The 23,005-nt window shown below is 50.8% G+C and overlaps 1 protein-coding gene across 47 annotated transcripts in view, besides 10 other annotated features; it reads right to left on the bottom strand.

The window, feature by feature from the left end:
- GATAD2A (GATA zinc finger domain containing 2A) overlaps positions 1-23,005 on the bottom strand; it is a 123,090-nt gene that overhangs the window by 31,066 nt on the left and 69,019 nt on the right. For 20 of the 47 annotated variants that reach the window (NR_169268.1, NM_001384512.1, NM_001384517.1 and 17 more), the window contains one exon: positions 12,253-12,527. Coding sequence is in view for 42 of the 47 variants with exons in the window: in NM_001384512.1 (NP_001371441.1) it covers positions 12,253-12,521 (269 nt within the window). In the remaining 5 variants the exon portion in view is untranslated. Of the gene's footprint in view, positions 1-3,699; positions 3,835-12,252; positions 12,528-12,919; positions 12,940-13,065; positions 18,671-18,922; positions 19,403-20,637; positions 20,946-23,005 lie in introns of those variants that run through there. The other 27 variants (NM_001384523.1, NM_001384511.1, XM_047439009.1 and 24 more) reach the window with 9 other exon arrangements.
- Positions 2,433-3,124: an enhancer, noted in NCBI's record as "H3K27ac-H3K4me1 hESC enhancer chr19:19585552-19586243 (GRCh37/hg19 assembly coordinates)". NCBI's record gives its function as "activates a minimal SCP1, AML or CMV promoter by ChIP-STARR-seq in naive H9 embryonic stem cells {active_cell/tissue: H9 hESC(naive)}" and the evidence as "EXISTENCE:reporter gene assay evidence [ECO:0000049][PMID:30033119]".
- Positions 3,606-3,675: a silencer, noted in NCBI's record as "silent region_10444". NCBI's record gives its function as "represses an Ori minimal core promoter by ATAC-STARR-seq in GM12878 lymphoblastoid cells {active_cell/tissue: GM12878}" and the evidence as "EXISTENCE:reporter gene assay evidence [ECO:0000049][PMID:35858748]".
- Positions 3,818-4,509: an enhancer, noted in NCBI's record as "H3K4me1 hESC enhancer chr19:19584167-19584858 (GRCh37/hg19 assembly coordinates)". NCBI's record gives its function as "activates a minimal SCP1, AML or CMV promoter by ChIP-STARR-seq in naive H9 embryonic stem cells {active_cell/tissue: H9 hESC(naive)}" and the evidence as "EXISTENCE:reporter gene assay evidence [ECO:0000049][PMID:30033119]".
- Positions 4,510-5,202: an enhancer, noted in NCBI's record as "H3K4me1 hESC enhancer chr19:19583474-19584166 (GRCh37/hg19 assembly coordinates)". NCBI's record gives its function as "activates a minimal SCP1, AML or CMV promoter by ChIP-STARR-seq in naive H9 embryonic stem cells {active_cell/tissue: H9 hESC(naive)}" and the evidence as "EXISTENCE:reporter gene assay evidence [ECO:0000049][PMID:30033119]".
- Positions 14,812-15,593: an enhancer, noted in NCBI's record as "H3K27ac-H3K4me1 hESC enhancer chr19:19573083-19573864 (GRCh37/hg19 assembly coordinates)". NCBI's record gives its function as "activates a minimal SCP1, AML or CMV promoter by ChIP-STARR-seq in naive and primed H9 embryonic stem cells {active_cell/tissue: H9 hESC(naive and primed)}" and the evidence as "EXISTENCE:reporter gene assay evidence [ECO:0000049][PMID:30033119]".
- Positions 16,717-16,856: an enhancer, noted in NCBI's record as "active region_14357". NCBI's record gives its function as "activates an Ori minimal core promoter by ATAC-STARR-seq in GM12878 lymphoblastoid cells {active_cell/tissue: GM12878}" and the evidence as "EXISTENCE:reporter gene assay evidence [ECO:0000049][PMID:35858748]".
- Positions 17,187-17,306: an enhancer, noted in NCBI's record as "active region_14356". NCBI's record gives its function as "activates an Ori minimal core promoter by ATAC-STARR-seq in GM12878 lymphoblastoid cells {active_cell/tissue: GM12878}" and the evidence as "EXISTENCE:reporter gene assay evidence [ECO:0000049][PMID:35858748]".
- Positions 17,617-17,836: an enhancer, noted in NCBI's record as "active region_14355". NCBI's record gives its function as "activates an Ori minimal core promoter by ATAC-STARR-seq in GM12878 lymphoblastoid cells {active_cell/tissue: GM12878}" and the evidence as "EXISTENCE:reporter gene assay evidence [ECO:0000049][PMID:35858748]".
- Positions 17,617-18,027: a biological region, named in NCBI's record as "Sharpr-MPRA regulatory region 5941".
- Positions 17,733-18,027: an enhancer, noted in NCBI's record as "tiled region #5941; HepG2 Activating non-DNase unmatched - State 19:H4K20, and K562 Activating non-DNase unmatched - State 14:Gen5'". NCBI's record gives its function as "activates a minimal TATA promoter and a strong SV40 promoter by Sharpr-MPRA in HepG2 and K562 cells {active_cell/tissue: HepG2 | K562}" and the evidence as "EXISTENCE:reporter gene assay evidence [ECO:0000049][PMID:27701403]".

Below are 23,005 nucleotides of genomic sequence, written 5' to 3'. Positions count from 1 at the left end.
ACCTCAGTGTGAGGACGCTATTCTGAATCTTGTGCCCCACTGCCCCTAGACTGCTGGTCTCCGGGACTAGGAATCTCCTTCCTTCTCCAGCAAGTTGGCCACCTCTCTCCCGTCCAAATGCCTGAGAGATCCTGGGCTCCACCTAGGCTCAGAGCATCAACTCTCCCTTCTCCAGAGGGGGGTCCCAAACCCAAGGCCCAGTCCCAACTCTATGTTCCACCCTTCCTGCATCCAACAATCTATCCCAGACCACCTTTCCGGTCTCTGCTCCTACCACCGTGTACCTTCAGACTCTGACCCCTGCACCCGGTGCACCATGATTTCTGGGCTGCAGTCCCCCAGAGAGTGCCCTCAGACCACTCTTCCCACACCGCCTGCAGACACGCCAAGTCTCCTGGAGGCCTGGACTGATGGCTCTCTTTAGAATGCTCTTTGTACGAAAGCTATCAGGGCCCTGCCTTGAGGAATTCTGCATGGCATCAAGTCTCAGTCGCATGAACCCCCAAAGCTTTTCAATTTGATGACGTCACAACTATTTTAAAGATATAAGCTCTAAAAATCCGCAGTCCTATGGCACAGGTCCCAAGCAAGGGAGGCACATAGCAACATCTGGTATGTCTCCCATCTTTCCACCCATCAGACGTCCCCTCCCTTGTCTCCCACCCTCCAGAGAGAACGGTGGCATCTGCCCGAGCCTCAGCCACAGGTAACTCAGTGTTTCCAAAGGCAGCAGATCCAGCTTGGCTTCAGGCGTTACCCTGCCTTCCTCTCAGCACTGTGACTTTACACTATGGTGGAGCCTCAATTCACAGAGGAGACAAGAGGCATTCACAAAGTGGGGGCAGACTATCCCAGGCCACACAGAGATTCAGTACATGGCCGATCCAGGCTGTCAGACACCCACGTTCTTTTTTCTACCACCAGCTGCCCCCTCAGGCTCACAAATTATAATTCATATGCTCATCTTAAGAGAGAGAAGAAAAACCTCAGAAAGATCTCTTCTAACCAGGTAGGCTTTTCTTTTCTTCCAGGGGCATATTCTGCTAACCGGGAAAACACTGCCCCCCTGGGTGTGACGCCTGCCTGTCCCACCTGGGATCACACATGCCCCTGCAGGTTCCCAGGTATCCACTCCGTCTGTTTCTACCTGTTCTGCACACAGAGACCCCCAAGGCCTGGCGCCCACTGCCCTTCGCTCCACTCCTTCACCAGGTTAGGGGACCATGAGGGACAGGACTGGCTCTCGGCCTAAGGAGCACTCAGAAGCCGCCCCGTAGCCTCCAGGTTGGTTTCACTGCAACTGCTTGCAGCATGGCAGGGAAGCTGGCTGCAGACTGAAAAGCAACATAGCTAAACCCAGTTTCAGTGGGCACAGCGGAGTGCTGGTCAGACACCCTCCCCGTCTTGTCCCTGTGGATGGGACATTTAAATAACCCGCTACAGGAGCTGGGACATCAGTTACAGGAAGAGAAGCCTGTCAGTGAGTGACAAATAAGACAACAGCAGGAATACATGCTGGGAGGAGATATCAGAAGCCGCAGCAGCAAAACAGAAAGCAAGTCATTTAAAAAGAAGGAAGAGGTCTGCTTAATCTGCAAATCTGCTCAACTTACAGATGTGTGAGAAGAGTTCAGACAGAGAAGGCCAAACATTTACTGGTGATTACCTCGATGTCCATATAAAGTGTGGCCTCTGGTTTTCTGTCAGAGCCACCACAGGATAATAACATCCCCAGAGAGCCTGCACTGTCCAAGAGAGAAGCCCCATTTCAAAGTTAGGGATCCGAGTCCCCTCCATGACCAGAGGAGGGCGTCTAAAGGCAACAGGGAGCTGGCAACACCTTGGAGAAGCTGAAGTTCAGGAAGACCAGCAGTGATGCTCTTTTACCTGGCACCGGGCCGGCTCATGCTACGGCCCTCATGTGAGCTGAGGACTTGGGGAGTTAGAAACAGGGCAGTCTGTTATCCTGGTGCCCCTATATAATCTAACGATTCTTAGAAGTACAGGTGGACCCCTCACATTTCAGCGATTTCTGGGATTAGAGTCCCAGATAAAGGGAAATTGGATGAGGAGCCTGCAGGAAAGGGGTGACATAGAGAACAAGGAGGAGACAGACGGTGGCCACTGAGGTTTGGAGGGGCAGCGGCTAAGGCAGGGAAGGGAGCACAAAACAGATTCCCAAGGGAACATACCTCTCAGTTCCCATGAGCTAAGAAATGCCCGCAGGCTGTGGATTTCTAGTCGGAGCTGGTGAAGGCACTCCCTGGGGCCACCCAGCCTCTCCTGGAAGTTGCCCAGAAGCAGACAGAGAATTAGCAAGTGAAAGGCAGCAGCCAGCCCTCAACAGGTGCTGGGGAGGGGCTGGGGCAGTGGAGGGGGGGGGGCTCCAGAGAGCCGCCCACAGAGTACCCCGCTCCGGAGCCCCCTGTCTGGACCCTGACTCTGGGACAGGCCAGTGGTCACACAAAGGGAAAATGGCTTCTTGCTGTGGGACTTCCAAAGCTCTGGCACCCCGATGGGGGATTTAGGGGTTCAATCCCTGCCAAGAGGGCTGTAGGAGGCAGCCAGTGTGAGGGCCACAAACCATGTCCCTGGGCTATGAGAACCCAGCCCTTTCCTGAGCCCTCACGTCGACAGCTGTGCCACATTAGTCCATCGTCCATCTCATTCAAGGACGTGCATTCCTGTAGACAGCCGGCCGGCGGGCCGGGAGCAGCTGCGGGGAGGCATAGTCCTGAGAGCAGGGGGTGGAAGCTCAGCTCTGCACATCGCTGTGAAGACAACCCCTCCACCCGTATGCAGGCAGCCAACACAACGATGATAGGGGTTCTGTGGCACCAGCAACTGTCCGAGCATCCGCTATGTGACTGACTAGCACAAGGGGCAGTGGGCTCTTCTGCCTGGCCTCGTGCTTCCATCAAAGAGGGACAAGGGTGACGGGCTTAAGACAGAGCCACACGTGTAGGCCAAGTCTGGACCTCAACCTCTCTGGGGACCCAGTGGCTAAAACTATAAAGACTGAGAACAACAAGTGAAGACGGTATGCTGGACTGCCACACCTGTGAGTGTGAAAAGCACAGACCATTTTGGGGGAAAAGCCCAGTCGTTTCTCTAAAACGACTAACCACACACACAATTTGTAACCCTGCAGTTTAACCTGAGTGTTTACCAAGAGAAATGCTGACTCGTACCCACAAACAGACAATCTGCAGGGACCTTGCACAGCAGCGGGTGCTCACACCAGGCCCAAATTGGAGGCTGCACACATGTCTACTGACAAGTGAGAAGTGCCCTGTGCACACCACTCAGAGGCACACCAATACACACCAGGGGCAAATCCCAAAACACTCAGAAGGAAGCCGGACCCCAAAGAGCACTGACTCTGTGAGTGCATCCCTGGAAAACCGGAAAAGAGGCAAGACCAGTCTCATGAGGGGAAGCACCAAAACAGGAAGGGCTGGGAGTGCGTGAGGGCCCTTCTGGAGTGGGATGGTAAGGTTTCTGGGCCGTGATAAAGTTTGTGACCTAAATTCAGGGTTTGACTCACAGGTGCACACGTGAGTCAGAACTCACTGTCTCGGGCACACCAGGAGAGCCCCATGCTCACGTGGTTGTCGGGGTTGGGGGCAATTCCAGTGTCGACCTCACCCTCCTCTCCCTTCCCTGTAAAAAGCATCTGTCCAAACAGGAAGGACTCACTCTATCCGTGATCCTCAGAGACATCTTGCAAAAATTATGTGATGCACACCTTTTTTCCAGCTGGCCCCATTTTGGCACAGAACAAAACAAAGCCGTCCACACTCCCACGTTCTGGACAACTGGGTGGCTGGATGTCTAGGAAGAAGCAATATCACATTACTTTCTGATTTGTTTTTGGTTTTGGAAGGCTTGGGTGTTAATATGTGTTGTTTTTGTTTTTTTGAGACGGAGTCTCGCTCTGTCGCCCAGGCTGGAGTGCAGTGGTGTGATCTGGGCTCACTGCAAGCCTGACCTCCCGAGTTCACGCCATTCTCCTGCCTCAGCCACCCAAGTTGCTGGGACTACAGGTGCCCACCACTACGCCCGGCTAATTTTTTTTTTTTTTTTTTTTTTAAGTAGAGACGGGGTTTCACCATGTTAGCCAGGATGGTCTCGATCTCCTGACCTCGTGATCTGCCCGCCTCGGCCTCCCAAAGTGCTGGGATTACAGGCGTGAGCCACCGCGCCTGGCCTAACCTGCATTTTAATGATGGGCACGCATGCTCACCGTGGTGGGTGGCCTAACCTGTCTTAATATCAAATGATCAGCCAGTGCATTCTCTGGGCAGGGAAGTGACACAGATGTGTCACCCCACCGCCCTCTTGGTGACTGCAAAAGTCTAAAAAGAAAGACAACGGCAATGATTCTAATTGTCATCAAGGACACCAGTGTCACCAATTGCGACTGGTTTTGCAGGCCCAGTAAACAGACTACATTTCCAGTGTGTTTTACAGTCTGTCACTGGCCACAAGTGCTTGACCAGGGAGCTGAAGGCCAAAAAAAACTAAAGCCAAGATCAGATCTAACAGCACAGATGCTACTTTGAGCCCCAAAGTGGCCAAGGAACACACATCCCAGCCTGCCCCGTCCAGACCATGGGGCAGGCCTTTGGTCCAAGTGCTGCCCCCTCCCACAGCAGACAAGCCACTCATGGTACAAGGGGAGGTGGGGAAGAGAAGAGCAAGACACAAGAGCTGCCTGAACGCCACACACCACTAACGGGGACAACTTGCCAGATATCCACCTAGGCTGTGTTGAAGTCTGCCCAATCCATGGACCACGGAAGCCACAGCCCAGTCTCCTCCCAGGTGAAGTAAGGAAATGGAGACGGTGAGCCACATCGGCAATGGCAAGTCCTTCTTTCCAAGACCTCTGCGCTTTCCTTCATGACATGGTCTTCCAAAAAAATAGCTGCATAAATCAGATCCTGTCTTGATTACCTCTCTACCAGAGATCAGCATAGTACCTGGCATACAGCAGGTCTGGTCCTGGACCACTGACAATCCAATAAGAGTTGACACTTCAGAAAAGGCACATACAAACACATCCTCAGTGAGGTGTGGCCATTCACAGAGTTCTCATTCCCTCACCCCATGCAGGCCCAAGGTGACTGAGGGACCCTCAGTCCTTACCTTTCAGTTGCAGGACCCCTGGAGAAGAGCCGCATTTTTACTGAGCAACGTGCTCTTCCATCCAAAAAAAAAAACAAATCAAGGCTGGGTACAGTGGCTCACACTTGTAATCCCAGCACTTTCGGAGGTTGAGGTGGGTGGATTACCTGAGGTCAGGAGTTCAAGACCAGCCTGGCCTACATGGTGAAACCCTGTCTCTACTAAAAATACAAAAATTAGCTGGGCGTGGTGGCAAGTACCTGTAATCCCAGCTACTCAGGAGGCTGAGGCAGGAGAAACACTTGAACCTGAGAGGCAGAGGTTGCAGTGAGCTGAGACCACGCCACCACACTCCAGTCTGGGCAACAAGAACGAAACTCCATCTCAAAAAAAAAAAAGAAAAGAAAACAAATCAAGCTATTTCCATCTGGGTGTGGCCAGTTATTTCTGAAGATCAACCATTTGAAAGAAAGAGACTCTCCCCTACAGGAAAGTGCAGGACTGGATCTGCTACTTATCACAAAAACAAAACAGAAAGAACCGGCCTGGTGCCGTGGCTCATCTATAATCCCAGCACTTTGGGAGGCTGAGGCAGGAGGATCACTTGAGATCAGGAGTTCAGGACCAGTCTGGGGAACATAATAAACCCCATCTCTACAAAAAATTTTTTAAAAAGAACAACAGAAAAACCCCATCCAGGTGTAGTAGCATGCATCTATGGTCCCACCTACTTGAGTGGCTTGAGCCGAGGTGTTCAAGGCTGCAGTGAGCTACGACTGCACCACTGCACTCTTGCCTGGCCGACAGTGCAAGACCAACTCCAAAAAACAGAGAACCAAAAGCAGCCTCCTCTGCCTGCCAGCTCCAGCCTCATCTGACAGTCCAGACTCGGCATAGGGGCAGCACATGCCCACGACCTTTGGATTGGCCTCACAAAACCAACAGACTCACAACTTCTACCTCTGCGGGTTTTGTTTTTCTGTGTGCACATTTATGGATGCCACAACAGAAACCAAACTATTTTAACCTTCATTTAATTATTTATTTTTAACATCCATATTGAGGTATACTTTACATACCGCAAAATTCAGCCACCGTAAGAGTACCATTCAATGATTTCAGTAAATTTGTGCAATCATCACCACGATACAATTTTAAAATATTTCCATCTTCCCAAAACGTGCCCATGTGTTGTTAATCACTGCTCCCACCCACCCCCAGCCCTGTCCTAGTCAACCACTGGTCACTTTCCATCTCTCAAATAAATTTGCTTTTTGGGGGGACATGCCCTGTAAGTGAAACTATACAACAAGTAGTCCCTGCATCTGCTGTATCCTCCTTAGCGTGGCAAGTCTGAGATTCAGCCATGTTATGGCACACATGAGTAGTTTATAAAGCTGAACAGTAATCTGGTATATAGAGGTAGCAGGTTTGTTTTATCCATGGGACACTGGGTTGCTTCCACTTTTTTTTTTTTTTTTTTTGAGACAGTCTTGTTCTGTCACCAGGCTGGAGTACAGCGGCACGATCTCGGCTCACTGTAACCTCTGCCTCCCAGGTTCAAACAATTCTCCCTCCTCAGCCTCCCACGTAGCTGGGACTACAGGTGCACGCCACCACACCAGGCAAATTTCTGTATTTTTAGTGGAGACGGGGTTTCACCATGTTGGCCAGGCTGGTCTCAAACTCTTGACCTCAGGTGATCCGCCTGCCTCGGCCTCCCAATGTGCTGGGATTACAGGCGTGAGCCACTGTGCCTGGCCCTGCTTCTACTTTTCGACCAGTATGAATCATGCTGCTGCAGGTGTACCTGTCTGTGTGGACACATTTTCATTTCTCTTGGATAAATTGCTAAGTCATACGGTAAGTTTACAACTAACTCTGTAAGAAACTATCTGGGCTATTTTACATTCCTACCAGCAATGTATGAGGAATTCCAGTTTCTACACTTCCTCCTCAACACTTGTTACTTCCTTTTTTTTTTGTTTTTTACAGCTATACTGGAGCCTTGTTTTATGGTCCAATGTATGATCAACAGAGAACGTTCACCTACAATTGGGAGGATGTATTCTGCATTCACCAGGTATTCTACAGATGTCAGGCTAAGTGAGTTAATAATGTTCTTCAAGTCCTCCATACCTTGCCAATTTTGTCTAGATGTTCTACCAATTATTGAGAGTGGGATATTGAAATCTCTAACTATAACTGATTAATTTCCATCAATCCTATCAAGTTTATGTTTTCAGGTATTTGGGGGCTCTGCTGACTGTTATGTCTTCCTGAAATATCATATGAAATGTCGCAGCTGGGCACAGTGGCTCACGCCTGTAATCCCAGCAATTTGGGAGGGTGAGGCGGGCGGATCACGAGGTCAGGAGTTCAAGATCAGCCTGGCCAACATGGTGAAACCCTGCCTCTACTAAAAATACAAAAAATTAGCTGGGCGTGGTGGCGGGCACCTGTAGTCTCAGCTACTCAAGAGGCTGAGGCAGGAGAATCACTGAAACCCACGAGGTGGAGATCGTGCCACTGCACTCCAGCCTGGGTGACAGAGTGAGACTCTGTCTCAAAAAAAAAAAAACAAAAAAAAAAATAAAGTCGCAGTTTGGCTCTAGTAATTTTTTGGTCTTAAAGTGTCTTTTATCTCTTATTAATACAGTTACTCCAGCTCTCAAGCGGTTACTTATGGTACCTCTTTTTCCATCCTTTTGTATTATTCCTTGAATCTAAGGGGCGTCACTTATAAACAACATATAATTAAGCTGAATCTTGCTTCTTTTTTTTTTTTTCTGAGACAGACGGAGCTCTGTCACCCAGGCTGGAGTGCAGTGGCACCATCTCAGCTTACTGCAACCTCCGCTTCACGGATTCAAGTGATTCTCCTGCCTCAGCCTCCCAAGTAGCTGGGACTATAGGTGCGTGCCACCACGCCTGGCTAATTTTTGTATTTTTAGTAGAGACGGGGTTTCACCATATTGGCCAGGGGCTGCTATCAAACTCCTGACCTTGTGATCCGCCCACTTTGGCCTCCCAAAGTGCTGGCATTACAGGCGTGAGCCACTGCGCCCAGCCTGAATCTTGCTTCTTTACACTATCTGATAGTCCTTGCCTTTTGATTGAGGTATTTAGATCCTTCACAGTTACTGCATTATTGACATGGCTGGATTGACATTTGCCATTTTGTTTTCTACATGTCCTCTTGTTTGTTCCTTTATTTCTCAGTGAATAAAGAAACTGCCTTCTTTCGTGTTAAATATTTTTTAGTGTATAACTTTAATTCTGATGATCTTTTTTTCTTTTTTTTTGAGATGGAGTCTCGTTCTTTCATCCAGGTTGGAGTGCAGTGGCGCGATCTTGGCTCACTGCAAGCTCCGCCTCCCAGGTTCACACCATTTTCCTGCCTCAGCCTCCCAAGTAGCTGGGACTACAGGTGCCCACCACCATGCCAGGCTAATTTTTTTGTATTTTTAGTAGAGACGGGGTTTCACTGCGTTAGCCAGGATGGTCTTGGTCTCCTGACCTTGTGATCCACCTGCCTCAGCCTCCCAAAGTGCTGGAATTACAGGAGTCAGCCACTGTGCCCAGCCCTGATTTTTTTAAAAAACTATATTTTAAAGTTATTTTGTTCAGAGCTGCTCTAGGCATTACAGTAAGCATCTTAATCACAATCTATATAAGACTGATGCTAACTTGATTCCAGTAAGATACAGAAATTTTGCTCCAATATTGCTCCATTTAATTCCCCATCTTTTGTACTAATATGACATATATTTTATCTGTGGATATTATAAACCCAACAAATCATTCAAAGCCTTTGGTTGGCTTCCAGACTGCAGAACTAGTTAAGTCTTTCCAGTTAACCCATGCATTTACCATTTCCAGTGTTCTTTATTTCTTCTCATAGACTCAAGCTGCCAACGTGTCATTTATTTTCAGGCTGAAGAACTGGCAGGTCTACCAGCAATGGATTCCTTCAGTCTTGTTTACCTGACAATGTCTTTTTTGCTTTCATTTTTGAAGGACTGTTTTTACTGGTATAGAATTCTGGGTTGGCAGTTTTCTTCTTTGGATACTTTTAACATCATTCAACTCCTTTTTGTTTCCATTGTCTCGAGTCAGAAGTCAGCTGTTCATCTTATTAATGCTCCCCAGATGTGCTGAGTTGTTTTTCTTTTGCTACTTTCAAGATTTTCTTCTTTTCTTTGGCTTTCTACAGTTTGACTATGATGTATCTAGGTCAAGATCTCTTTGTACTTATGCTATTTAGGGTTTGTTGGGATTCCTGGATGAGTTTCTCCTCAAGTATGTTTTTGCCCATTATTTCTTCAAATAGTTTTTCTATCTTGCCCCAACCTTGGGCTAAAACAGAGCCGCTGTGTCTCCCCACTTGCCCATCTCCAAGACTGTCACTCTCATCTACAAGACCACAGGCAGGGTTGCTACCACTCTAAAATGAACAGTCCTCCTTTTCACCCACACAGCGAAGCTGTTGGTCCTCAAAGCTGACAGTGGCTGGACAGAACCTCTTTACCAAACAGATGGGAGAGGGCATAGGAATAGCTCCAGGCCAAATGCCATACAGTCTCACTGTTCTCACCTGAAATTCAGCAGTTACAGGCATAAATACTTCTCAGATTGTTGTATGCCCCTGCTCAATTTTTCCAGAATGCTGAGATTGTTTCATTTTGCTTTTGTCAATTCTGCCAATCTCCTCATTCAACACAACCAGAAGTTGCCCTCCACCCTCAATTTATGTAGAATATAAAACACTCACACAAGTTGGGAGACTGAGAGAGAAAAACTGCTGAGTTAAAGAGCGACAGGGAGCGGAGTAAAAGATGGAGGCAGAAAGCTGATTCTACTACTGTATCTGCCTCTGCATGCTCCAAATCATCCAACATAGCAATATGTACACTATACACACACATGCAAACATATATATTTCTTGATGATTCCAATTCACCAGCCACTAAAGAAAAAGGAAATTCTCTCTCCTAGAAGCCATCAGAAACTGCCTCTAGCTTTCAATATGCCCAGATTCGGTCATAAGATGGTAATAAGTTAGCATGAAAGAAAAAAAGGTAGTTTTGAAAAATACCCAAATAGAAACTCTATAAACAAAATACTATACAGCAATGAAAATGGATTAACTACTGGTATGCACAACAATATGGGTAAATCTCACAATGCTGAGTGAAAGCAGGAAGATAAAAGGTACATAGTATATAATCCCACTTATTTAAAGTACCAAAGCAGGAAAAACTAATCCATATTGTCAAGAAAGTGATTACCCTTGGAAGACAGTGGCAGCAAGCAAGCATGAGGGGGCTTCAGAGGTGCTAGCAATATTTTTTTGTTTTTTGAGACAGAGTCTCACTCTTTCCCCAGGCTGAAGTACAGTGGCGCGATCTCGGCTCATTGCAAGCTCCGCCTCCCAGGTTCACACCATTCTCCTGCCTCAGCCTCCCAAGTCACTGGGACTACAGGCACCCGCCACCACACCCAGCTAATTTTTTTGTATTTTTAGTAGAGATGGGGTTTCACCGTGTTAGCCAGGATGGTCTCAATCTCCTGACCTTGTGATCCACCCGCCTCGGCCCCCTAAAGTGCTGGGATTACAGGCGTGAGTCACCGCGCCCAGCTGAACTCTGAGTTTCTTTAACACTTAACTTCTCCCTCACAATCCACTGACCTACCCTGCAGGGGAACATGGTGATTACAGGAGAAAATGCATGTCAGCAACCCAGGAATGCACAAGGGACCCCATGCACATGGACTGCAGATTCCCATGAACATGGACTCCTCCTCTTCCTGCCCTGACTCCACACCAGCCCCTCACTGCTCACCCCTGCTGAGCTGTCATGGACTGGTCTCTGGCTGAAAACATAGAGAAAGGAAAAGGAGACTTGGACCTATAGTTTTATTTCTGGAACTTTAGAAGAGGACCTTGGTTTTAGAATGGGGACTGCAGACAGCAGAGTCAGACAGAAAAGCCCTCTTTGGACAGCAGGACTACAAAGTATATTTCCTCAGACTAGGAGGCTTTGTCAACAGGAGCAGGCTTGGGTTTTCCCATTTATCTTCCCATTTTAAACGCTGTGAACACCAGATGATCTCTGAAGTCCTCAGGATCCCAACAGTTTGGGTTCCAAAAACGAATTTGACATAAGACTGCAGGCTGGGGTCATCCTGTGGGGTTAGCTGACACGGGAAGGTGAGGAGCCACCAGCTGTCCCTTATGAACAGGCGTGGAGAGACAGGCCCTCCACAGGGAGAAGACTCCAGTGGGCGGTGAGGAGAGAGAGCAACGGGCCACAGAGGAGTTTGTCAGAGGGCCAGCCGGGAAGCTGTGGCCACACCACAGCCCTCAGTGGGTGTCTGGGCATGAACATTCTGGAGAGCTCCAAGGGGAGGGGTGATGCAAGAGCAGGTGCTGGGTCTGAATTTGTCTTTACAGAGAGAAAGGAAGGTTTTGAAGTCAAGAAATAGGTGGTAGATTGGGTCTTATTTTTATTTCAAGCTTTTACCTTAAGAGACTCATAAAAGGTGAATATGAGGAAAGTCACTCTTGAAGTAATCAGTGTTGACTAAGGACAAACCAACAGAGCAAGCCAAAGACCAGCACCAAGTGAACATGGAGTCGAGTGAGCATCCCGTACCCGCTCCGAGGAGGGTGCCCTGGGCTGGGCTCCCAACTCTATCCCTAGCCAAGTGACCAAGGTAGGTGTAGCATTCCTGGCCCTCTGACCTCTAGATCTGAAAAGCAGGGAAGCATAACCAAATGAATAACTCAAGTGTCCCTACAAACCAAAAGCACCGAGTTGGACAGACAGCAGGTGCGTGGGTGGCAAAGGCCTACTGATGGCAGGGGAGCTGATGGAATGTGCCACTCCTTCTCCTGTGAGACCCACACTCTGTGCCACTTGCAGTTGGGACCTGGGGCCCTGGAATGGCCACAACAGCACAGCTGCCAGTGGTGGGTGATGCCCGAGCTGAGCCTACAGCCCTCTCCACAACCCCGCCAAGCTGTTACCAACAGGCCTGGAGTGTGGCCAGCCCCAACCTGGGCACACTGGGCTTGTCTCCAGGTTCCAGCCCCTCCCGCTGGCTCCTCCCACTCACCTGTGTGAGGTGCGCATGTCCACGGGCCCATCGCCCACCAGCCCTTCGCCTCTGCCCATGGCCATGGCCGTGGCCTCTGTTGCCCTCAGCAATCCTTGGGTTGGACCTGCTCCCGGCTCAGGTGTCACCCTCATGTCTCCGTCAGTGTTTAAATCTGAAGCCAACAATCCTCTCTCCATTTTTATTTTCTTGCTCTCCACATCGTCCTCTGTTGGGTCCCGTTCAAGCGCTCGTTTCTGACTCCGTGTTCGGCATGCTTCTTCGGTCATTCTGAACTTGGGAGGGAGGAGAAGACACAACATTTTAACTGGGTGCAATGAAGGTGCCACCTTCTTGGAGACTTTTCAGTGTTGCTTTCAGTGTTTTCCTCCCTATGGGAAGGATGGCAAAAGAATGTACAACAAACGCAGGGCCCAGAAAAGCATCCCCAGGACATTTCATCACTGCCTTGAGGAAGGCTAGGCAGGAGGGGGGTGTCCCCAGCCTCCACTGTGTGGCTGAACATTGGTGGAGCCAAACTACACCCTGCCCTGTTGGGGGCCAGAGGCAGCAGGGTGCTGAACAGGAGCAGTGGAAGGTGGCTGCTTATCAGCAAGGAAAGGCTCAACAGCAAACAGAGGAAAAGTTGTTCTAGATCTCAACTACCTGCCTTTGGGATTTTCAGCACCTGCAATGTCTGGAATCCAGGAGGGCGGTGACTGCACTGTTCCAGGAGCAGGGTCGGGGCCTGGGACTAGCCCTATGCTGTGGTGACTCGAGTTAACCCCAGCTTCTCCCCTTCAGGGAAGGGAGGTCTCCTCACTCCCTGCTCACCTCTGGGGAGTGGGGACTGGGGATCACATTTAACCCTTTGGTTGCCAGTGAGGTACACTTTGAGTAGAGTGAGGCCTGGCCCATCAACGTGCCACTGCCCTGTACCTGCAGCACACACATATCTTGATTTAAAGAAGAAAGAAAAAGAAGAAAAAAACAGCTGAGTCAGTTTTTGATCCCATGACATCACTGGCTCCACATGACCCTTCCCAGGATTCAGTCGGAGAGACAAAGCACTTTCCAGAAAACCAGTCTGAACCGGTTCCAGACAACAGGCTGAAGTGTTGTTAACCCTCACGGAGACAGGACGACAGCACAGCGATGTCTGTCTGCAGGGAGGCGGCTGGCATTCCACAGCAGGGTCTGGGACACTGGCACTCTTAAAGGGGCTGCTCTAATCCCGGCCTCGACGTCCCAACAGGACAGGGCACAGGAATTGAGACAGAGAGAGTCAGGTTCTTAAAAAAGCATCCCAGTGTTTACCAGAGGACAAAAGAGAAATTTAGCAGCTGAGCTCTAGTGGAATTCCCGAAGTGTCACAGTTTTCCATGGGACAGTTGGTGCCCACTTGGGCCCCACAGAGAACCCCAATTCACACCTGTGGCATGCTCTATGCTGAAGCCCTCTGGTCCTATCTGTGTCCTCACAGGCAGGGCACTCATCTTGCCAGAGCCTTAGTTTCCTCACTGGCAAACACCCTGGGGAAGCCTGTCCCAGGTAGAGCCAGGCAGACCGTCTGGAAGCTGGGGGCAGCACAAGGCAACACAGGGGTCCTGTCGCCATCCATGGGACGCACTCCAGAGCTGACTCATCTGCAGCTTCCTTAAAGGAGCCAATTTCACAAATGAGCAATAGCGCAAGGCCCTGCCCAAATGTGCCCCCTCATGCACTCAAACTGAAAGGAAAGAAAGAGACAGCTGCTTCACGCTCCTGGAGCCAGAGGGAAAGCAGGCCGTCTACATGCGTGTTGTGCCAGTGTGGTCCAGCCAGGGCACCCGGGCACCGGCTTGAAACACTGGGGTCTCCTCAAGGCCAGGAAATCCCTGGTGCTTCACACAGGCCCAGAGCAGCTCTGTGCTCCCTACCCTGTCTCACCACCACCCAGGTGCCATGGCTGACCCTTAACATGACCAGGCTGAGGCAGGGAGACTCCGAATCTCAAGGGCACAGGTTTTCAGACTTGCCTCCACCTGTCCCCAGCCCCTCTGGCATCCCAGCCTGCACCTACCACCTATCCCACACCAACTGTGCGGCCTCCGCTGCCCCCGGCCACCCTGTCCACCCCCGCCCCCGCTCCTGCTCAGCTGCCCCTCAGCTCCTCCGTGGAATGGAGCCCAGGTAGAGGTCGAATGTGGAGGTCATGGCCTCACTTCTCTGGGGGAGGTGAGGAATGCTACGGTGTCCCTCTCAGCCCTGAAGTTCTATGGTCTCTGTCCTTCCTTCCTCCGACATGCCTTGCCCATAAACCCCATCTGAACTGCTCACTAACAGGTTGTCTGTCTTGCCTCCCATGAGACCACAGATAAGTCACTGCCCTCAGAGTGTGGGTCCCCTCCTCTCATTTCCCTCACTGTGGGAGGGGTGGGACATTTCTCCTTCAAGCACTGCCTTAGACAGCAGGTATGTGCACTCCCAGGCCCAGGGCAGGGAAAAGCCTGTTTAGGTGAGAGATGAGGGGAGGCCAGGACCTCGGACAAGTAAGGGCCCCACTCTACGGATGAAGCTTCCCAGTCTGGCCTTATAACTACTGTTGGGGATGAGGTCCCCAGGTGGACAGGGAGAATGCACCTCCACCTCCAGGACATAGCACCCTTCCCTGTGACTCAAAGAAACCCCCATGCTCCCCACTCTGCCCCTGTTCCAGCCAGGCAGGGCCCCTCCCAGCACAGCCTCCCACCCTGTAAGCTCTGGGCTCAGTTCCATGAAGCCCATTTGAACCCAAGACCCTGAATGAGTTCTCGAAGCTGCTCCAGCCCACATGGACAAGGTGGAACTGACAGCCAGATCAGGGGGGCCGTGCCTGTGTGGCCTCACTTCGTTCTCACTGGTATAGGACCAGAGGCTACCCAGAGGTTCTGAGAGATGCAGGATGGAGCAGGGCCTCAGGTGCCCAGCAGAGCTGCTCCCTCCAGCCCCAGAGACCTCTCTTGTTGGGCCCCCTGTTGTGGTAGCAGGTCAGGGTCCTCAGCAGAGGGCTGGCTGGCGTGTACTCAAGGTGCACAGCAGCTCACTATGAAGCCTAAGGCCTGGAACTCTGCCAATCCCAGGCCCGGCACTGACGGCTGGCCTCACAGCGCCCGCCTGCCCTATGCCTGTGCCTCCCAGAGGCAGGCCACTGCGGGGCGGGGCCCTGCGGCACCCCTCCCCCACCTCAGGAAGGACAGGCACAGCTGGAGGGGGTGGGGCCAGCCCCCGAGTGCAGGGGGCTCCTTTGGCAGGAGCCTCCTCCACTGCCAAGACCAATGACGCAGGGCCTGCTACTGGCCAATCCTCGGCCACCACAGGACACTTGCTCCTGGGGAGGGCAGGTGCCAGTAAGGAGTGGCTCCTCCCTCCTCGAAGCAAGCGGGACTAGTGCCCCCAGCACAACAGGGCTGGCGGCCACCGCACAGCAAGCACAGACCCAGGAGCAAAGTTGTCAGGAAGAAGAAAGCGCGACAGATGACTCCTGCAAAGAGCAGTGGGGGGTACATTAGAACACTTCCTAAAAGTAGGTGAAGAGGCTAGGTCACCCTGACTGGCAAATGAGGATTCATTTCAAAATTCCCAGTGACAGGGGAGAGTGAGGGGAAGGCAGCTCCGGTGGCGGAAGTTCCAGGCAAGGGTTGTGCGGGAGCTGCCAGTGCATGGAGAGTAGCCCCGTCCTGGGGGCTGAGATCCTCTGCCGGCTGCTGCCTGCACAGACAGATCCCAACAGCAGTGTGCCCATTTGAAAGAGGAGAGCACTGAGGCTGCCAGGGCTGCCTGAGACACAAGGTTGAAGGTCAGCCTCACCCTCCTCCTCACTCTCTCCAAACACCCCAGGCCGGACTGCAAGCCAGCACAGATGAGCAGCACCAGCAAGGCTGAGTGGGCATCGGTCTCCTCTGATACGTCCCGCACACACTGGGCTGGCAGGTGGTGGGGGCGTAGCCCAGCTCTTCCTCAACTAGGGGCCAAAAAGGACAGGTTCCAGCCACACTAGAGACCCCACACAGGTACAGCGCAGCTCTGACCGGGAGCACCTCCATGGGCTTTAGGGCAGATAGGAATGCTGCTTTATTTTCGTAAAATGCCACCATCCAACTGGCCTGAGAGCCTCAGGCAGAAAACATGTTCTAGAACAATTCCAAAAGGCTGACTGATGCTGTGGCAGGAACCAGAACTCTTAAAGAGGACTTGGGGGACAAACAGAAGGCACCCAGCACACTTCTGGCACACCAGGCCAGTACGCATCTCTTGATAATTAAAAGAGAAATTAAGTACATGACACAAATCATAAAACCAAACCCCTGAGATCACAATGCTAATACTAACTCTACCATAAAATGCCATCTGTGGCACCCATCACTAACATACCCATAGTAACACCCTTATTTCAGACAGGAAGAAAGTGAGGCTTCGCAGTAAGTGGGTTAAAGCACTGGCGGGAGCAGCAGGGCTGATGCTCTTAACGGTGGATTTTAGGCGTCTTTCTGCCTCCTCACCCGACAGCAGCTCACCGAGCCTCCACTGTGGGCTGGGGACTCAGTGGTGAACAAGACAGAGGGAACACCATCCACCCCCATGCTGGAAAACGAGCGAAATGACAGAGGGTGTTGGTGACGGTGCTGTGGGGACACGAGGCAGAGCACGGGGCAGTCAGAGCACACAGAGGGACGGGGGCTGGGTGGAACGGGCGGCACCGGAAGCCAGCCCTGAAGGAGACAGGGCCTGAGCGGAGACATGTGCTGGGGGAAGCACTGGCCCAGGCCGGAGGGGAGGAATCTGGCTTGCTCTAAAGGATCACCTGGCTGGAGGACTGCAGGGCAGGGGAGCGGTTCCTATGGTGCAGCTACACTGGGGAAGGGGACAGAGCAGAGGGGAGTTGGGGCACTCCGGAGGGGGTTGCTTTCTTTCACTTGTTTTTGCCTGAGCAACTGGACCAGTGGGGCTGGCTTTTCTGAGATGGGGAGGAGCAGATTTGAGGAAGGAAGGTTGGGCTACAGTTCGGATGTGCTGAGTGCGAGGCCCACGATGAGCCCCACGGAGATGCTGAGGAGCAGAGCCCTGAACCTGGGGGCAGCCACTGTCCTCAGGAGGCACAGGGCACCTCAGGGCACCTCTTCCTATCAGGAAGGAAGAAGGGCCCATGAAGCAACCAGTGCTGAGTCAGATGATGACAACGGGGTCCAGGTGCTAGCCTCGCTAGCTGTGAGCTGCGCCCAACACTCAAGACACAAGGACCCTGTAGGCACACAGCTGCAGCAAGCCTGCGCCCAGGTGCCCACCTCCAGAGCGCCCCTGTGGCCCTGCCCTTCACACAGATTGATGCACAGCACAGATGGGCCTCTGGACCCAGAACCCCTGTCTACTCTCCTCCCGGCAGCATAGCCCGAGGAAGCTCCCAAAGCCACATCCTGGATCTGTACCCCCTTCAGTGGCTCTCCCACTTCCTAAGAGTCAAACCAGGGTACCTTGTTGTGGCCCAGAAGGACCTGTTGAGGGGGTAAGGAGAGAATAGGTGGGCCAAGTTTTGGCATTGGCAGAGCCTGCCTGACAAGCATACTTCTTTCCCATGCAGAACAGACACCTCCATCTGCTCAGAACTGTGGCCCGAGCCACTTCCTGACGCACATCTCTGAGTAACAGTGACTAGGACTCATTCCGGAAGGAAGCCACACCGGAAACAGCAGCTCTGGACTTCTCAATGTCAAACTTCATTAAGGCCAAGTACGAGAGATACAACTTAACTTGAGAGACAGAAAGGTGTTCCAAGCAGTCAGCTCCTACAACTAGACACAGCAGGGAACAGAGACTTGGTCTCAGCTCCATCACACACACGCTGGCTGGCCATGGGCCAGGGGAGAGGTCTGTCAATCAACCACAGGACCAAGGACACAAGATGGACACAGAAGCTTCAGTGGGCCAAGAGAGGATGCCACTGCCCCTTCTTCCACAGTGTTTATCAAAGATGTCCATGCAGCTTAAATTATCTACCCTCTGTGCCACATGCTAGATAGAGACTCTCAAATTCTAAACAGTCAACCCAAACTTTTTTCTTTAAGAACAAGGTCTCACTATGTTGCCCAGGCTGGACTCAAAACACCTGGGCTCAAGTGATGCTTGAGCTGAGCCTCAGTTTTCCCATCCCTACTTCACAGACAATGCTATGTGAAGAAAAATGGAAAGAACTGTGGGAGAAAAGTTGCAGAATAGCATAGTACCATTTACATGGTTTAAAAAAAAAAAAAAGGTGTATATAGGGAAAAAACTGAAAGTAACTTCACTAAAATCAAAACTGAAAGGAACTGGACCAAAATCAGTGGTAGTAATCTCTGAAGAGTAGATTATTAAGAAACTTTCACTTACTATAGTAAACATTTCTGTATTGCTTGAATTCTTTAACAGTGACTATGAATCAGTCCTGTATTCAAAGAAAGCAAGGATTAAAAAAGAAAACCAGATAAAACAACAGCCCCACCTGCTAAGGATGAGAATCAAAAGCACAAGTGTGAAGCCAGGCACAGTGGCACATGCCTGTAGTCCCAGCTACTCAGGAGACCAAGGCAGGAGCATCACTTGAGCCCAGGTGTATGAGTCCAGGCTGGGCAACATAGTGAGGCCATGTTTCTTAAAGAAAAAAGGAAAGAAAGAAACTAACAAAGAAAGACAGTACCTCATCCAGGCGAGGAGGAAGGAGGCTCCCTAGGGTGAGAAGCTCTGGAGAGAGGGGGAAGCTGGCTCCTCCAATACTCCAACGCATAGGACTAAGGACACAAGATGGACACAGAAGCTTCAGTGGGCCGAGAGAGGATACCACTGCCCATTCTTCCAGTGTTTATCGAAGATGTCCACGCAGCTTAAATCATCTACCTTCTGTGCCATATGCTAGAGACTCTCAAATTCTAAACAGTCAACCCAAACCCCCCAGCTCATTCCCACAGCCCGCCTTCTATATAGGCCACAAGCCTCCCTGAGTGGCCACAACCACCAGGCCACAGCGTACCTCACCAGAGCCCTGGCAACAATCTCCGTGCCACTCAGGAGCTTCATCTCTCACTGCAACTCAATGTTAAGCTCTCAATGGCAGAAACTTTTTTTCACCATTCATCTTCATTTTCAGTGTAGAGCAAACAGTATGGGCTTGGTATGCACTGCTGAGTTACGCCTACGTTTCTGTAAATTAGACTCATGAAGCATGTGATTCCCAGGGTTGCCCTACAGGGCAAAGAGGAGCAAACAAGTAAAGTGCTTTCATTTAAAACTCCAAGACATGGGGACTGAGATGGCGTCTCCCAGACTGAGGCCAGGGCAGGAAAAGGAATTAGGCGAGACGTTCCAGGCAGGGGAACAGCATGCGCCAAGCAGCTGAGCAGGGAGGGTTTCAGGCCAAGGAAGGGAAAGCCGTGGTGAGTCCTGAACTACAGGCTTTCTCAAAAGGAGAACAGATGTCTACTACTCACTGGCTGACGCTGGGTTCTTAACCCTTGGTGGCCTGAAAAGTAAAGACACACCAGAGATACAGACATCTTCTCTCTCTCATGTTATCAGGATGGACCCCAGCCTAGTCAGCTGGCTAGGAGCTCCCTGAGCCTTCAAAGACCCCAAACTGAGAGATCGTCTCCCTGCAGTGGTCCTAGGATAAGACCAGCAGTGGGGAGGTGCAAGCTGGCTGGAGCCAACTACCTCTCACTGAGAGCCTGCATGAGTTGGAGACGGGCATGTGTCATCCCACAAGGTACAGGCACAACTGAAGTCTGGCTGGGTGAAAGTCCAGGCTAGGTCTGAACTCAGGCTACCATGCCTCTGTCTAGGTGGCCACTCTGATAAGCCTTCCACAGTGTGCAAGGGGCCTTTTGTTAATCTTTTTTTTTTTTTTTGAGACACAGTCTCAGTCTGTTGCCCAGGCTGGAGTGCAGTGGCATGATCTCGGCTCACTGCAAGCTCCGCCTCCCGGGTTCACACCATTCTCCTGCCTCAGCCTCCCCAGCAGCTGGGACTACAGGCGCCCATCACCACGCCCGGCTAATTTTTTGTATTTTTTAGTAGAGACAGGGTTTCACCGTGTTAGCCAGGATGGTCTCGATCTCCTGACCTCGTGATCCGCCCGCCTCGGCCTCCCAAAGTGCTAGGATTACAGGCGTGAGCCACCGAGCCTGGCCTTGTTAATCATGTTTACACTGCTTTCACCTGAAGTGACAGGCACAGGTGGGGCTCAAAGGAGAGCTGCATACATGTGAGGAGGAGGATGGAACAGCCATCCTCAGATGTCTCCAGGCAAGACTGAATCTAGACTTGCCCTGCCTGGGGCTATGGAAGAAGCTCTGGGAGGCCCCTGGGAAGAACCTGCAGCCAGAAGGTATGAGCCCTCAGAATGTCCCAATCACTCACCAGATAACAGGCTCTGTGACAGCAGGTACAACACCTTGTCCATGTCCCTGAAGTGGCCCCACTTCTGCAAGAGTGTCAGTCACAGAGCAGGTGTGCTGCACATACTGGATGCGTGGGCAGAGGTGTCACAGATAGGAGTGCTCTGAGTTGAAGGACTGGATCGGACACTTCAAACTCACTTTCAGCTCTGGGATCCTCAGGGTTTCATCCAAATCTGTTGCTCCTTTGTAATTAATAGAAGCATGGGGATCTTCTAATTTTTAAGTGCAAAACACCCAACACTGATTGAGCATCTACCCCACAACCACCTGTAAGGTAAATACTCTCATCAGCCGCCTTTTTGCAGGTGGGGAAACCAAGGCACAAAAGTACCCAGTCAGCCATCAGAAGGCCCCATCAACCACTCAAAGAGTCAGACCTGAAGATTCCAAAGGACATGGGGAGCACTGGACCTGTACAATTTGGGCTTGACCTTGCCCTCTCACACCAAGAGGTCCAGATGAGATATTAAGTGATTACGACTTTACTGTCACGAATGAGAGCAAACCTTTTGGTGTTTGCCTTTGCCTTCAAAGTATGGTTAAGTTCTGCTGTAGCGCAACAGAGGCAGCACTCCTAAAAACACTGCGGGATGCAAACCCATGTGATAAAAACACAGGGCTTATGGACATAAGGGTTAGGGACACAGTACTCCAAAACTTCATCTATGACGTAAGATAGGAGCCCAAGCAATGACACATGTGGATATATGGGCAGCACAGCTACACACATGCTCAGTGGCTAAGAAATATACAAATGTTGCAAGTCTGACCCTCACCTCGGGGAAAACTTACTGCTTGCCGTGAGCATGGGTGGGCTGCCATTTCTGCTGGAGGGAGGCTGTCTGACCCCGGAAAGGGATAGGGTGTGGCCCATAACATGCGGGACCCCGAGGGGACTTGGAGCATGTCTGAGGTGTGGGCAGTTTTATTTCATGTACTCACAGGTGCTCTACTATATTAAACTGGTAACAGTTTTCTAGATTCACCTAATGCAAGAGTTGGCAAACTTTTTCTCTCTTTTTTTTTTTTTTTTTTGAGATGGAGTCTCGCTGTGTCGCTCAGGCTGGAGTGCAGTGGCGCGATCTCGGCTCACTGCAAACTCTGCCTCCCGTGTTCACTCCATTCTCCTGCCTCAGCCTCCCGAGTAGCTGGGACTACAGGCGCCCACCACCATGCCCGGCTAATTTTGTTTTTGTATTTTTAGTAGAGATGGTGTTTCATCGTGTTAGCCAGGATGGTCTCGATCTCCTGACCTCGTGATCCGCCTGCCTCAGCCTCCCAAAGTGCTGGGATTACAGGCGTAAGCCACCACGCCTGGCCAGTAAACTTTTTCTTAAAATGCTACACAGTAAATAATTTTGGCTCTGCGGGCCATTTAGTCTCTGTCAGGAATGCTCAGCTCTGTGGTTCTGACAGGACAGCTGTCCCTCCAGACCCTTGGAGGATTATTTCCAGGAACTCCCGGGATGCCAAAATTCCCAGATGCTCAATCCCAGATATAAAATGGTGTAGTATTAGCATACAACCTACGTACATCCTTCCATATGCTTTAGTGAGTCACCTCTAGATTACTTATAATACTCCATAAAATGTAAATGCTACATAAACAGCTGTTATACTATAGTTTTATTTGTATTATTTTATGTTGTATTGTTTTTTCCATTATTTTCCTTCAAAAAAAATTTTTTTTTTAAGACCCAGAGTCTTGCTCTGTCACCCAGGCTGGAGTGGAGTGGCGCGGCACAATCTCAGCTCACTGCAACCTCTGCCTCTGGGGTTCAAGCAATTCTCCTGCCTCGGCCTCCCGAGTAAGTGGGACTACAGGCACATGCCACCACGCCTGGCTAACTTTTTGTATTTTAGTAGAGACGGGGTTTCACTGTGTTGCCCAGGCTGGTCTCGAACTCCTGAACTCAGGCAATCCACCTGCCTCGGCTTCCCAAAGTGCTAGGATTACAGGTGTGAGTCACCGTGCCCAGCCCCCAAAAAAATTTTTTTAAGAGATGGGGTCCCACTGTATTGCCCAGGCTGGTCTCAAGCTCCTGGGCTCAAGAGATCCTCCTGCCTCAGCCTCCCAAGTAGCTAGAATTACAAGCACATACCACCATGCCTGGCTTACCCCAAATATTTTCAATCCACGGTTGGTAGAACTCAAAGACACAAAACACAAGGATATGGAGGCCCAACTGTACATACCTGAATGGGCGTGTCTGCGAATTAAACTCTATTTACCAAAACAGGCCACCACCTTGTGGGCCATAGTTTTCCAATCCCTAGCCTAGTGTTTCTCCTGAACAAAACCACACGCAACCATCGCAACATTTGTG

The sequence above is a fragment of the Homo sapiens genome, chromosome 19 (genome assembly GCF_000001405.40).
Source record: "Homo sapiens chromosome 19, GRCh38.p14 Primary Assembly".
In the NCBI taxonomy this organism is placed as follows: domain Eukaryota; kingdom Metazoa; phylum Chordata; class Mammalia; order Primates; family Hominidae; genus Homo; species Homo sapiens.
Note: the sequence above shows the minus strand (reverse complement) of the source record. Positions and strands in the feature narration are given on the sequence as shown.